The 16102-nt window shown below is 38.9% G+C and overlaps 1 long non-coding RNA gene across 1 annotated transcript in view, besides 2 other annotated features; it reads right to left on the reverse strand.

Moving 5' to 3' along the window:
* LINC02208 (long intergenic non-protein coding RNA 2208) overlaps positions 1–16102 on the reverse strand; it is a 211152-nt gene that overhangs the window by 21858 nt on the left and 173192 nt on the right. The gene's annotated exons all lie outside the window — the stretch shown is intronic.
* Positions 9982–10482: an enhancer, noted in NCBI's record as "H3K4me1 hESC enhancer chr5:117718500-117719000 (GRCh37/hg19 assembly coordinates)". NCBI's record gives its function as "activates a minimal SCP1, AML or CMV promoter by ChIP-STARR-seq in naive H9 embryonic stem cells {active_cell/tissue: H9 hESC(naive)}" and the evidence as "EXISTENCE:reporter gene assay evidence [ECO:0000049][PMID:30033119]".
* Positions 10483–10983: an enhancer, noted in NCBI's record as "H3K4me1 hESC enhancer chr5:117719001-117719501 (GRCh37/hg19 assembly coordinates)". NCBI's record gives its function as "activates a minimal SCP1, AML or CMV promoter by ChIP-STARR-seq in naive H9 embryonic stem cells {active_cell/tissue: H9 hESC(naive)}" and the evidence as "EXISTENCE:reporter gene assay evidence [ECO:0000049][PMID:30033119]".

The following is a 16102-nucleotide window of genomic DNA, read 5'->3' on the forward strand; positions in this document are numbered from 1 at the left end:
GAATTCCAACACAATGATTTACTTCGGTATCAAATTCAAAACGAGGATCAGAAATCCTGCATTATCATCTATAATGAATCTATTTCATCAACTAATTTAAAATCATGCATAATTCATTACGTGCATTATTCATTTATATTTAGCATGTATTTCCCTAGATGTGGTCTCTATGCTAACTTTGCCTCACTATTTTTTCTGCATAAAATGATTATACGTTTCTTTATTGGTGAAAACAGAATGACTTTTTGTCAAATTGGGTCACTAATTTTCCTATATAACACAATAATACTTCCTGCCTTTTATTTTCAAAACCCTTTCCTTTACATTGTCATTTTATCCTTCTAGTAATCATGTTTTTATCAATCTTGTGTTATTTTATTTTAAAAGTAAGTAATCCATCATTCCAAAAGAATGAGAAAGTTGCTCAAATAAAATGTAATGTCAGATTTGAATCTAGAATTAAAATCTTCTGGCTTCTAAGTTCTCCAATTTTTAAAGCAAAGATCCAAAATTTGGGGAGTTTTGTCTTGAGAAATTATCTATATGAAAACAATGTACAAGTTTTTGGTGATAGCTTTTTAGCTAATGAATCAGTTTTAAGTCTTCTCTATTAACCCAATATGATAATACTATCTGAAAATGTAGTTTTTTTATTATATTACAGGTATAGTAAGGCCAATAAATTAGGAAATAGAGGGCTATTATGAGTAGAGGGACCATATAAATTGTTATCTACACTGGGACACTTTTGAGGGTGAAAGTGTCACTTAATAAGTATACAGTGACAAAAGGCATAAATGGTTTCAATCCCAGACAAACAGGATTGTATGAGCACCTGAGCAGTGGGAAAGAGAAGACCCAGCTAACTATGACACGCTATGACACTGGCTTTAGAGATGTTTTACCTCATGTATCATCTCTGAGTCTTTACTGGACATCGGGCAGTCAGCATTTGAAAGTTACTTTGTGATTATGTTACTCCATCAGGTTCCTCCTAAATGTCCAAGTCTAGCCCACCTATATTTCCCCCTTACTCCCTCTGCCTTCTGAGTGACCCAGGTGCTTCCCTATGTGGCCTCTTCTCTTGGGAGGTAACAAGTTACCATTGGGAATAAAAGCTAGATATCTGGTATACTGATGACTTCATCTTTATATATAAAAGCAAAATGAATATGAAGATTCATCCACCCTTCTGTGGGAAACTATTGCAATGTTAAAGAACGGTAGGGCTCACAATCTAAATTTAATCCTAAAAGGAATTTATTAAGTGCCATAAACTAACCAACAACTCAAGATATCACTAAGAATATGGTATTTTATAGAGCCAAGAAAAAGCACCATCTATAAGAATAAAAGTAAGAGAAAAGCATGTTAAACTGGTGAAACAAGTCTGATGTAAGTAGAATTTATACTATTTGCATGTATAGTTCTAATGTGATTGAAGAAAAACTGTAGGAGGTTATACTGCAACTGCTGACTATGGAGGGCCTTACACCTCACAGTAAAAGGTACCAAGAGTCTATACTCTATGCCTAAATACAGGGATGTTTATGATTTAATTTTATGTGCAATATTACTCCACAATACATGGTTTATCTACATTCCTTCATAAAGCTGAATACAGAGCTATAGAAGTTATGCAAACATGCATCATAAGAACTTATAAGTACCTTCAAATATACAGGAATAAACTGTTAAGAGGTCTCAAAGGAAGGAAATAGCAGGGCTGGCACAAGGTGATTGTAATATTGAGGGAGCAAGAAAAGTTTCCTGGAGAAGGCAAGATTTGAAACCATCACTGAAAGATGGAATGAATTTTGACAATCAAAGGGATGTGAGAGGCATTCTGGGCAGAGGTAATGATGCAAGAAAGGTAAGAAAGTGATATACTCCTCATTGCTGGAGTTCAAGACTGCAAAGGTAGGTCAGGGGACCAGAGGGTGAGAGATCATCAAGTTAACCAGCTTCTAACACAGTCTTTCTGTATAGCAGTTGCAGAGGAATGATTCGGTTATAATCTCTAAAAATTTGCCATGATTGTTGTGATTATTCACGAGAATTAGTATACCTTTGGGAAATAGAATATTGATGAATGTATTTGTACTCTCAGATTCAAAGGTAAAATCGCACAAGTCAGCCCAGCTGTGGGCAACCTAGATAAGAAATGAAAATGTAAAATTCTTTTTTAATTTAAAAGCAAACATAGCAAAAGTAAGGTTGCAAACGAGCAAGGACTCTCATTGGGTTTTCCCACATTAAAGTCTTAGATAAAATACAGCTACTTTTTCAGTATTTTATGAAACCTTAAAGTTTCATAAAAACTTTAAGGGTGCATTAAAAAGCTTTTGAATTTCATGAAACTGAAGGATGGTATTTCTTTGGAACAACGTAATAGAATCATTAGGACATTAACTTATTATCCCTACAGAAAATGTCTTACAAACTCCTTGCTAATAATAGTAGCTAACACATAGTAGTGCTTGCTATGTGCCAAGTATTGTAAACACTTTACATATATTGACCAAAACGACCTTTTGTTCAAATAGAATTGTAAACCCAGTCAAAAAAAAAAAAAGGAAAAGGAAGCTAACACATCAGTAGCCTTGCATAGCCACAGAAGATCTGCTAGGCTCTGAGGGAATGCAGTTTGAAAAACACTGTTGCAGGCTTCCCACAGAAACGGACACCATGCACCATGAATACAGTGTCAGTGAATGTTTGCATAGCTCCTACTTTGGGAACTATGAGAATATTGTAAACAAGAGCAGATAGGTCTATTTTCCCTGCACGTCTAAAAATAATGTACTGGTTGCCAACATTTTAAAATTAGACTTGATACTGAAATCTGAATGCCTGGTTTCTCCTAGAAAATACAAACATCCAGAAACCATAGATCCCATCCTTCTATAGGACGGCCATATCCTGTAAGGCAGAGGCCTGGTGTCCCTGTAGGCAATCTCAGGGCTCTGTTCTTCAGCTGTCCACCATCCCTACCACACCCCCTTCCAGGCCCACACGATTTGAGTCTAAAAAGCTTAGTTTAGGGTAAAATTTCAAGTGCTTAAATATAGGTTGCTTGGACAGTTTGGCTCAGACTGTTACTGGATCAGAAAGAGGTTCTCCTGGAATTTTTCAACTCAGCTATGAGAAACTGGAAGTTCAGATAATGTGGCCAGCCACCTAGTATTTGAACACATAATCTTAGTTTTTCAATTATTTTTATTTACCTTTGTTCCATGACAGAACTAGAAATGATCGGGGCAACACCCTCCTTTCGTAGATAGGAATACTTGAGCCAGTTACAGTGTAATCAGTCCTAGGATAACAGTCACTAGTCTTAGGTTTCTTCATACATTACCAGCTCTCAACACCATCAAACTTCTGCCAGATTTTCAAGAATCACTTCCTGAAAGAAGTGTACTTTTGGCCCATTTTTAAACATTTTAATTTATTGTTATTGGAGTTTATATATTGCAGGTGTTTAAGAGAAAAGAGATGTAGTTTAACCTTAAATTAAATAAAAGAATTGGAAGGAAAAATAAATTGTTCCAATCATTAAATGTACATTATAGAAACTGTGAGCTTTTTGTTTTTAAGACAGGCATAGTTCATCATTCAAGAATGACATTAAGTCTATATTTTTCTACCGTAGGTAAAAACGGCAGGGACTGAGCATGGCCTCAAACTTAAAGAACAATGAGCCAATCCATTAAAATTTACAATCCTATTCCTGGAGCAAAGAAAAGCCTCCAGAGGTCTTTCTTAGCTTGGCCTCAAATTCTAATTATAACCCATAAAGGGATTTCTTAATCCTAGAATAGCTTCTTTGAAGTTAAAGAGTAAAGAATGAAATAACACCAACTAAGTGTTCATGTGTGAGTACCTAGGAAGGTCATGGTCAAGGCTAGGAAGGGGAGATGTTCATATACCAGGACTTTCCTGGAGTAACACTGGCCATATAATCAACTATATTAGTTGCTAGGGCTTCCATAAAAAGATAGCACAGACTATGTGGTTTAAACAACAGAAATTTATTTTCTCACAGTTCTGGAGGCTGAAGGTCCCAGATCAAGGTGTTGACAGGTTTGGTTTCTCCTGAGGCAGCTCTCCTTGGCTTGCAGAGGCTGCCTGCTCACTGTGTCCTCACATGGCCTTTTCTCTGTGTGGAAGCAATCCTGATGCCTCTTTCTTTTTTCATAAGGACGCTAGTCATATTGAATTAGGGCTCAACATATGACCTTGCTTAACTTGACCTCTTTAAAGAACCTAAATCTAAATATAGTCACATTCTGGCCAGGCCCGGTGGCTCATGCCCGTAATACCAGCACTTTGGGGAGCCAAGGTGGGCAGATCACTTGAGGTCAGGAGTTCAAGACCAGCCTGGCCAACATAGTGAAACCTGGTCTCTAATAAAAATATAAAAATTAGCCAGACATGGTGTCTGGTACCTGTAATCCCAGCTATTCGGGAGGCTGAGGCAGGAGAATCACTTGAACCTGGGAGGCGGGGTTGCAGTCAGCTGAGATGGGGCCACAGCACTCCTGGGTTACAGAGTGAGATTCCATCTCAAACAAACAAACAAATGAAGTAATAAAGTCACATTCTGAGGTACTGGAGATGAGGACTTCAATATATGAATTTTGAGGGAGACACAGTTTAGCCCATAACATCAGCACAAGTCAAAAGAGAAGAGAAAAAAAAAATCATAAGGACCAGAATATAGACCTTGATTTAGCCACAGAGACTGGATACAGAGGATCCCACTCCTGATTCCAAGAAACCCTTATCTCACTACTACATGAATCAGGCTTCTCAGAATCACAGCAAAAGTATGATTCTTCTCCTCCAACCACATTCCAATGTCTGTATATCCACTGCACACTTAATGTGTAAAAGAAAAAATTAGGAAGGCCCAGGCTAGGAAGCTCTCAAAGTCAACCTTTGCAGAACACAAAGTGAAGACCTTCTTAAATGTTGCCCTCTGGGCATCTCTCTTGGTTCGTCCTAGTCTTCACACTCAGAACATCAAATTGTTAAAAGCTAAAAGAGCTGAAACGGAGAGGTCACAGAGCTTCTGATACAAATTCCAGGTCAGCCTCATGTTTATGTCAGAAGGATAAAAATCAAGGACAACCAAAATAATTTCCTTCTTCCCTATTTTAGATAGCATCCAGAAGAGGAAATAAAGATGATGAAAGAAGGCTGATGGACATAAAGTTATTTGAAACATGTATGTTGTCTAAGTTATACAGAGGACATGTTAAATCCTACCTGCTATTTTTCAAGTAAGAATTGTGTAGCTTAAAAAAAGAATAGAAGAACAATTATGGCTATAGAGATGCTTATGGCAAACACATACCTTGATCATAGCAAGGTGGTAAAGTAGTACCACAACTGGACCACCCACCAACATCTAGCAGAGGGCAGAGGACATGGGAAAGTAACGTAAACATGACATCACTTAGTTTAATAATTCTAAGTTTCTTCTACACTTTCACTGGGCGTGCATCAGATTCAAACCTATTCAGTGTGGAAGTTGATTTTTTAACACATTATTGCAACAATACCAAGTGTTCTGTGCTCAGGGTTTTTTTTAAGCAATAAGTCATGCTTCATACTTGCTTTGGATAGTCCACTTAAATGTCAAGCCTCGCTGAGAGACAATGGTTTTGATTCAGTTGCTTTATTTATTTGTTTCCTCGAGGTCTCTGCCAGATTGTGTTTACAACACAAAATAACATATAATATGAAACTTCATTAGCTTTTACAAGGTCACTAACCACATTTCTTGACAAGCACCTGGTTTAGTTGGGGGATATTTCAATGATGTGATTAAACTTTCCTAAAGCAATCTTTAGTTTAATTATGGCATAAACTTAACATAATTGGATTACTTAGCCTGGAGGGGAAAAAAAGGCTGAAAAGTGACTTAGTAACTGCCTTAACTATGTAAAGGATTTTTTTCATTAACACTATTAACTATATGAAGGATTATTATAAGGAATCAGCTATTCTTTAGATACAATAATGAAGGAAAAGGCATAAATGGATTTAAGGAAAAGAATTAGGGTTAAGTTAGTAGGGGAATTTTCTGTTGTCTTGTGTGGTTAACTTCTAGACTGTATTTTGGAACTGTTATAAAAGATAGCTTCAAAAAAATCACAATCTCTCAAAAGTCTTTAAAAATCACGGATTCCTATCTGTCTGAAATGGCTTTTTCCTCAAGTCCCTTAAGTTTCCATCTAGAAAAGCTGATCATCTTACTCACATAAAAATGTTCCCAGCAGCAGCTCCCTCAGCCCCTAGTACAGTGTGTTATATATAGTGTACACTCTGTAAATGTTTATGGAATGACAATGAGTGAATAGAAAAAGGAGTAGTGCAGTAGCCAAAATCCACAAGCTTATTTCACTGAATTCACTCTACTGTGGAACAACAGTAACCACATCCAATTTTTCAGTGAAAAATATTCTAAGAAGCATTTTCTTCAGTGCTAGATTATGTATTAATTAGAATAAAAGCATCATTGCCAGAATAGATATTACAAGGGGGCCCTAAAAATATATCTGTTTAGACACATCTCCACCAGCCTAAAAACATTTCCCAAGCCATGTGTCATCCACGAGGTGGCTCTTCCTGGCAATGAGAGATTAACACTCCTTAACCTTGAGGCTCCAGCTCTGTCTGTATTTGGTATCTCATAGACTCAAAGAAATGATGTTTCTCAGCAAAAAAATGAAGAATTATGACATTACTGAGAACACAGACAGCAGAATTTAATGGCTGCCTCTTCAGGATTTAGTAACTAGGACAACCAGTTTGTGGCTGATATTTCTACTCTAGATCTAAATTCCCAAGTGCAAATCTGATTGGGTCAGCAAGTCTCACATACCTGGGTCGTGGCCAAAGAATAGATCCTCAATGGGAAAACCAGATGTTTAACAAGACTAAGAGGAACATGTGCCAGACATGCAAAAAAATATTAATTAAAAAAAAAACATGACCACTTCAGCATCCTCCACCTCGACAGATGGAAAGTAGGAATTTCAACCAATGCAACAGAGCATGTCTAATTTAGAATTAGGAAGATGAGTGACATTACCATTTCAGGATATATTCTGAGAAGTCAGGGCACTCATTTGCAAATGACTGGTTTCCAATAGCTCCTAATTTCTTTCCATCACTTTCTCCCACATCAGTTTCCATCAACTGCAGACAGTGTCATAGGACCAGGGGAAAATAACTTCAAGTTTCTCAGAATACAGAGATAAATTCAAAAACATGTAAAAAACAGTGGGCTACTTATCAGTCACTATAGCAGACTTTTTAGGCTCCTAAATTGATTTTTCATTACCCCTGTTCTTCCTATTTGTAAGTCAAACTATGGTCTATTCTGCTTTATATCTTTGGAGATTTCTAGTCCTGGTTTACTAACTCTCTGTAATTTAAAATGTGGGTCAAGAGCAAGCTGCAAAGTCCTTTAATTAATTATGCTCTTCACAGCTTTAGAATTCTCCTTCCAGTGACAGCTCATCACCTACTGCTTCACTTTATTTTCTTAAGCCAACCAGAATAATTCTGCTTGCGTTTTGTCTCTTCCTTATATCCCATCAGTCACTCCAAAATCCTCCATAACAAACTTAAAGATTATAGTAGGAATTTTATACAAGTTTGACAAGAAACTCAGAACTGAGTGAAAACACAGTTATTAGAATTATCACAAATCTATAATACAAATTGAAATACTGGGACTATTTTCAATTATATGTGTAATTATTCAGGAAATAAAGCTAAATTATAATATTTAAAGGTTGAAATCAAATTGGAAGACAATGTTATCAAATCTTAAAGTTCTTCAGAGCTATTTATTTTGCACCAAATACTGTACATTCAGTTTTTAAATAACTTTACTTTTTAGAGAGGTTCACAGCAAAATGGAGAAGGTGCAGAACATATTCCCACATACTATACTCTTCGCCCCACACGTGCACAGCACCCCCAACCCCACCCCATTATCAACATCCCTCTCCAGAATGGTACCTTTGTTACAATGGGCAAACCTACACTGACATGTAATCACTCAAAGTCCATAGTTTACATGAGGGTTCACTCTTGGTGTCGTACATTCTATGTGTTTGTACAAATGTGTAATGGCATGTATCCACAATGACAGTATCATACAACATAGTTTCACTGCCCTAAAAATCCTGTATGCTCCACCTATTCATTCCTCCCTCTCCCCAACCCCTGGCAATTAATGATCTTTTCACTGTATTCATAGTTTTGGCTTTTCCAGAATCTCATATAGCTGGAATCATATGGCATTTAACCTTTCCAAATTAATCTTTCACTTAATTTCTTTCATGTATTTTTATCTTACATTTAATTTTTAATTCCCCAAACATTTATTGAGCACCTGTTGTGCTATGCTAGGAATTGGAATACGATGAGAAACAAAATAATTCACTGCCTAATTTCTACATTTATAGAATGTCTGGATGTAAGCAAAATAAAAAAGAGTAAATAAACAATTATATATAATGACAAATGAACATAGTTGTTTTTAAGGAAACAAATAAGGTACAATGTGTTTTGGGGTCTCTAATATCACTCTCAGGCTTGATGATTCACTAGAAAAATTCACAGGACTCAGAAAAGCAGTTACACTCACAGTTATGGTTTGTTACAGAGAAAGAATCCAACAAAGGGAAAACGCACCTGGGATAATTTCCATGAGGAGCCAAGCAAACTCCCAGGTGTCTCTCCCAGTGAAGTTACATGGGGATGTACTAATCCCTCTCAGGAATGATGTACAACAACACATATAGGTGTTACCAACCAGGGAAGCTCACCTGAGGCTTGGCGTCCAGGGTTTTCATTAGGGAGCCAGAAACAAAGACATGTAGCTCACTTGCCACTGGCCTCAACTACTCAGACTCTGGTTCCCTCAGCAAAAACAGGCACTCAACATAAATCACATTGTTAGCATAAGCTGTGTAACCAAAATGGCACTGTGTGGCACAAGGTGTCAGGCATACAAAATCCTCATATCAGGCAGAATATTCCCAAGGCTCAGAAGTTATCTTCCAGAGATGATCTAAAAACAGACCTTTCTTTGGAATGTGCAGAATGTGAGCACCTCAAGCTTGCTGAATTAACCCTTTACTGCACACTATGAAAGAGAGCAATGAGGTATATCTAGTTTAAATTGGTCCTTCAGGGATCCCCTCAATGAGGAAATAACATTTTATTTGAGACTTCAAGGATGAGCAGGCAAAAAGAAGAGTGTTTCAACCAGAGGGAGCAAGTGTGAACTTTCTTAGATGGCCCTTTAGGGAACTAAATTAAGGACAGTGTGTCAGAAAGAGGGGAGAATGGCTCAAGATAAGCACACAAAAGTAGCTAGGGACTAAATTGCAATAGTCTAAAAAGCCGTGTTAAATATAATTCTACTTTTATACATCCCAAATACAACAGAAAATCACTGGGGCATTTTAAGATTTTTTTAGGGTTTAAAAAATAATCCTGGCTTCTTCATAACAAATGCATTGGAAGGAATTAAGAGCAATATAGAGAGACCAGTTACAAGGCTACTAAAATAGTTCTAATAAAAAAGATGGCAGCTTGGACCAAGAGATGCAGTGAGGATGAAGTGAAATAGATATATTCAAAATATATTTTGAGGCTTAGAAATTTTAGGATCAGCCAGGTGTGGTGGCTCACGCCTGTAATCCTCGCACTTCTGGAGGCAGATCACCTGAGGTTGGGAGTTCGAGACCAGCCTGAACAATATGGAGAAACCGCATCTCTACTAAAAACACGAAATTAGCCGGGCATCATGGCACATGACTGTAATCCTAGCTACTCAGGAGGCTGAGGTGGAAGAATCGCCTGAACCCAGCAGGTGGAGCTTGCAGTGAGCAGAGTTCACACCACTGCATGCAGCCTGGGTGACAGAGCGAGATTCCATCTCAAAAAAAATAAAAAAGAAAAAGAAACAAATTTTAGGATCACTTCCATATTCCATATTTCTGCCTCGGACAAGTGAATTAATGGAGGATATACTTACTCTAGTGAGGAAGCCTGGAGGAAGATCAGATCCACAGAGGAAAAACCAGGAACTTAATACACTGAATACTTTTGGGACAGAGGAGCCAAGATGGCCGAAAAGGAACTGCTCAGGTCTACAGCTCCCAGCGTGAGTGACGCAGAAGACAGGTGATTTCTGCATTTCCATCTGAGGTACCGGGTTCATCTCACTAGGGAGTGCCAGACAGTGGGCACAGGTCAGTGGGTGCAGCGCACCGTGCACGAGCCGAAGTGGGGCGAGGCATTGCCTCACTCAGGAAGCGCAAGGGGTCAGGGAGTTCCCTTTCCTAGTCAAAGAAAGGGGTGACAGATGGCACCTGGAAAATCGGGTCACTCCCACCCGAATAATGCGCTTTTCCGATGGGTTTAAAAAACGGCACACCAGGAGATTATATCCTGCACCTGGCTTGGAGGGTCCTACGCCCATGGAGTCTTGCTGATTGCTAGCACAGCAGTCTGAGATCAAACTGCAAGGTGGCAGCGAGGCTGGGGGAGGGGTGCCCGCCATTGCCCAGGCATGCTTAGGTAAACAAAGCAGCCAGGAAGCTCCAACTGGGTGGAGCCCACCACAGCTCAAGGAGGCCTGCCTGCCTCTGTAGGCTCCACCTCTGGGGGCAGGGCACAGACAAATAAAAAGACAGCAGTAACTTTTGCAGACTTAAATGTCCCTGTCTGACAGCTCTGAAGAGAGCAGTGGTTTACCCAGCACACAGCTGGAGATCTGAGAACGGGCAGACTGCCTCTTCGAGTGGGTCCCTGACCCCTGACCACTGAGCAGCCTAACTGGGAGGCACCCCCCAGTAGGGGCAGACTGACACCTCACAGGGCTGGGTACTCCTCTGAGACAAAACTTCCAGAGGAATGATCACACAGCAGCATTCGCGGTTCACGAAAAACCACTGTTCTGCAGACACCGCTGCTGATACCCAGGCAAACAGGGTCTGGAGTGGACCTCTAGCAAATTCCAACAGACCTGCAGCTGAGGGTCCTGTCTGTTAGAAGGAAAACTAACAAACAGAAAGGACATCCACACCAAAAACCCATCTGTACATCACCATCATCAAAGACGAAAAGTAGATAAAACCACAAAGATGGGGAAAAAACAGAGCAGAACTGGAAACTCTAAAAAGCAGAGCACCTCTCCTCCTCCAAAGGATCGCAGTTCCTCACCAGCAATGGAACAAAGCTGGACAGAGAATGACTTTGACGAGTTGAGAGAAGAAGGCTTCAGACGATCAAACTATGAGCTACAGGAGGAAATTCAAACCAAAGGCAAAGAAGTTAAAAATTTTGAAAAAAAATTTAGACGAATGTATAACTAGAATAACCAATACAGAGAAGTGCTTAAAGGAGCTGATGGAGCTGAAAGCCAAGGCTCGAGAACTACGCGAAGAATGAAGAAGCCTCAGGAGCCAATGCGATCATCTGGAAGAAAGGGTATCAGCGATGGAAGACGAAATGAATGAAATGAAGTGAGAAGGGAAGTTTAGAGAAAAAAGAAGAAAAAGAAATGAACAAAGCCCCAAGAAATATGGGACTATGTGAAAAGACCAAATCTACGTCTGATTGGTGTACCTGAAAGTGACGGAGAGAATGGAACCAAGTTGGAAAACACTCTGCAGGATATTATCCAGGAGAACTTCCCCAATCTAGCAAGGCAGGCCAACATTCAGATTCAGGAAATACAGAGAACGCCACAAAGATACTCCTTGAGAAGAGCAACTCCAAGACACATAATTGTCAGATTCTCCAAAGTTGAAATGAAGGAAAAAATGTTAGGGGCAGCTAGAGAGAAAGGTCGGGTTACCCACAAAGGGAAGCCCATCAGACTAACAGCTGATCTCTCGGCAGAAACTCTACAAGCCAGAAGAGAGTGGGGGCCAATATTCAACATTCTTAAAGAAAAGAATTTTCAACCCAGAATTTCATATCCAGCCAAACTAAGCTTCATAAGTGAAGGAGAAATAAAATACTTTACAGACAAGCAAATGCTGAGAGATTTTGTCACCACCAGGCCTGCCCTAAAAGACCTCCTGAAGGAAGCACTAAACATGGAAAGGAACAACCGGTACCAGCTGCTGCAAAATCATGCCAAAATGTAAAGACCATCAAGTCTAGGAAGAAACTGCATCAACTAACAAGCAAAATAACCAGCTAACATCATAATGACAGGTTCAAATTCACACATAACAATATTAACCTTAAATGTAAATGGGCTAAATGCTCCAATTAAAAGACACAGACTGCCAAATTGGATAAAGACTCAAGACCCATCAGTGTGTTGTATTCAGGAAACCCATCTCACATGCAGGGACACACATAGGCTCAAAATAAAAGGATGGAGGAAGATCTACCAAGCAAATGGAAAACAAAAAAAGGCAGGGGTTGCAATCCTAGTCTCTGATAAAACAGACTTTAAACCAACAAAGATCAAAAGAGACAAAGAAGGCCATTACATAATGGTAAAGGGATCAATTCAACAAGAAGAGCTAACTATCCTAAATATATATGCACCCAATGCAGGAGCACCCAGATTCATAAAGCAAGTCCTCAGTGACCTACAAAGAGACTTAGACTCCCACACATTAATAATGGGAGACTTTAACACCCCACTGTCAGCATTAGACAGATTAATGAGACAGAAAGTCAACAAGGATACCCAGGAATTGAACGCAGCTCTGCACCAAGCTGACCTAATAGACATCTACAGAACTCTCCACCCCAAATCAACAGAATATACATTTTTTTCAGCACCACACCACACCTATTCCAAAATTGACCACATAGTCGGAAGTAAAGCTCTCCTCAGCAAATGTAAAAGAACAGAAATTATAACAAACTATCTCTCAGACCACAGTGCAATCAAACTAGAACTCAGGATTAAGAAACTCACTCAAAACCCCTCAACTAAATAGAAACTGAACAACCTGCTCCTGAATGACTACTGGGTACATAACGAAATGAAGGCAAAAATAAAGATGTTCTTTGAAACCAATGAGAACAAAAACACAACATACCAGAATCTCTGGGACACATTCAAAGCAGTGTGTAGAGGGAAATTTATAGCACTAAATGTCCACAACAGAAAGCAGGAAACATCCAAAGTTGACACCCTAACATCACAATTAAAAGAACTAGAAAAGCAAGAGCAAACACATTCAAAAGCTAGCAGAAGGCAAGAAATAACTAAAATCAGAGCAGAACTGAAGGAAATAGAGACACAAAAAACCCTTCAAAAAATTAATGAATCCAGGAGCTGGTTTTTTGAAAGGATCAACAAAATTGATAGACCGCTAGCAAGACTAATAAAGAAAAAAAGAGAGAAGAATTAAATAGACGCAATAAAAAATGATAAAGGGGATATCACCACCGATCCCACAGAAATACAAACTACCATCAGAGAATACCACAAACACCTCTACGCAAATAAACTAGAAAATCTAGAAGAAATGGATAAATTCCTCAACACATACACTCTCCCAAGACTAAAGCAGGAAGAAGTTGAATCTCTGAATAGACCAATAACAGGATCTGAAATTGTGGCAATAATCAATAGCTTACCAACCAAAAAGAGTCCAGGACCAGATGGATTCACAGCCGAATTCTACCAGAGGTACAAGGAGGAACTGGTACCATTCCTTCTGAAACTATTCCAATCTATAGAAAAAGAGGGAATCCTCCCTAACTCATTTTATGAGGCCAGCATCATCCTGATACCAAAGCCAGGCAGAGACACAACCAAAAAAGAGAATTTTAGACAAATATCCTTGATGAACATTGATGCAAAAATCCTCAATAAAATACTGGCAAACCGAATCTAGCAGCACATCAAAAAGCTTATCCACCATGATCAAGTGGGCTTCATCCCTGGAATGCAAGGCTGGTTCAATATACGAAAATCAATAAATATAATCCAGCATATAAACAGAACCAAAGACAAAAACCACATGATTATCTCAATAGATGCAGAAAAGGCCTTTGACAAAATTCAACAACCCTTCATGCTAAAAACTCTCAATAAATTCGGTATTGATGGGACATATCTCAAAATAATAAGAGCTATCTGTGACAAACCCACAGCCAATATCATACTGAATGGGCAAAAACTGGAAGCATTCCCTTTGAAAACTGGCACAAGACAGGGTTGCCCTCTCTCACTACTCCTATTCAACATAATGTTGGAAGTTCTGGCCAGGGCAATCAGACAGGAGAAGGAAATAAAGGGTATTCAATTAGGAAAAGAGGAAGTCAAATTGTCCCTGTTTGCAGATGACATGATTATATATCTAGAAAACCCGATCGTCGCAGCCCAAAATCTCCTTAAGCTGATAAGCAACTTCAGCAAAGTCTCAGGATACAAAATCAATGTACAAAAATCACAAGCATTCTTATACACCAATGACAGACAAACAGAGAGCCAAATCATGAGTGAACTCCCATTCACAATTGCTTCAAAGAGAATAAAATACCTAGGAATCCACTTTACAAGGGATGTGAAGGACCTCTTCAAGGAGAACTACAAACCACTGCTCAATGAAATAAAAGAGGATACAAAAAAATGGAAGAACATTCCATGCTCATGGGTAGAAAGAATCAATATCGTGAAAATGGCCTTACTGCCCAAGGTAATTTATAGATTCAATGCCATCCCCATCAAGCTACTAATGACTTTCTTCACAGAATTGGAAAAAACTACTTTAAAGTACATATGGAACCAAAAAAGAGCCCGCGTCACCAAGTCAATCCTAAGCCAAAAGAACAAAGCTGGAGGCATCACACTACCTGACTTCAAACTATACTACAAGGCTACAGTAACCAAAACAGCATGGTACTGGTACCAAAACAGAAATATAGATCAATGGAACAGAACAGAGCCTCAGAAATAATGCCGCATATCTACAACTATCTGATCTTTGAAACACCTGAGAAAAACAAGCAATGGGGAAAGGATTCCCTATTTAATAAATGGTGCTGGGAAAACTGGCTAGCCATATGTAGAAAGCTGAAACTGGATCCCTTCCTTACACCTTATACAAAAATCAATTCAAGATGGATTAAAGACTTAAACGTTAGACCTAAAACCATAAAAACCCTAGAAGAAAACCTAGTCATTACCATTCAGGACATAGGCACGGGCAAGGACTTCATGTCTAAAACACCAAAAGCAATGGCAACAAAAGCCACAATTGACAAATGGGATCTAATTAAACTAAAGAGCTTCTGCACAGCAAAAGAAACTACCATCAGAGTCAACAGGCAACCCACAAAATGGGAGAAAATTTTTGCAACCTACTCATCTGACAAAGGGCTAATATCCAGAATCTACAATGAACTCAAACAAATTTACAAGAAAAAAACAAACAACCCCATCAAAAAGTGGGAGAAGGACATGAACAGACACTTCTCAAAAGAAGACATTTATGCAGCCAAAAAACACATGAAAAAATACTCACCATCACTGGCCATCAGAGAAATGCAAATCAAAACCACAATGAGATACCATCTCACACCAGTTAGAATGGCAATCATTAAAAAGTCAGGAAACAACAGGTGCTGGAGAGGATGTGGAGAAACAGGAACACTTTTACACTGTTGGTGGGACTGTAAACTAGTTCAACCATTGTGGAAGTCAGTGTGGCGATTCCTCAGGGATCTAGAACTAGAAATACCATTTGACCCAGCCATCCCATTACTGGGTATATACCCAAAGGACTATAAATCATGCTGCTATAAATACACATGCACACGTATGTTTATTGCGGCACTATTCACAATAGCAAAGACTTGGAACCAACCCAAATGTCCAACAATGATAGACTTGATTAAGAAAATGTGGCACATATACACCATGGAATACTATGCAGCCATAAAAAACGATGAGTTCATGTCCTTTGTAGGGACATGGATGAAATTGTAAATCATCATTCTCAGTAAACTATCTCAAGAACAAAAAACCAAACACCGCGTATTCTCACTCATAGGTGGGAATTGAACAATGAGAACACATGGACAC

Source organism: Homo sapiens, chromosome 5 (genome assembly GCF_000001405.40).
Source record: "Homo sapiens chromosome 5, GRCh38.p14 Primary Assembly".
Lineage (NCBI taxonomy): Eukaryota > Metazoa > Chordata > Mammalia > Primates > Hominidae > Homo > Homo sapiens.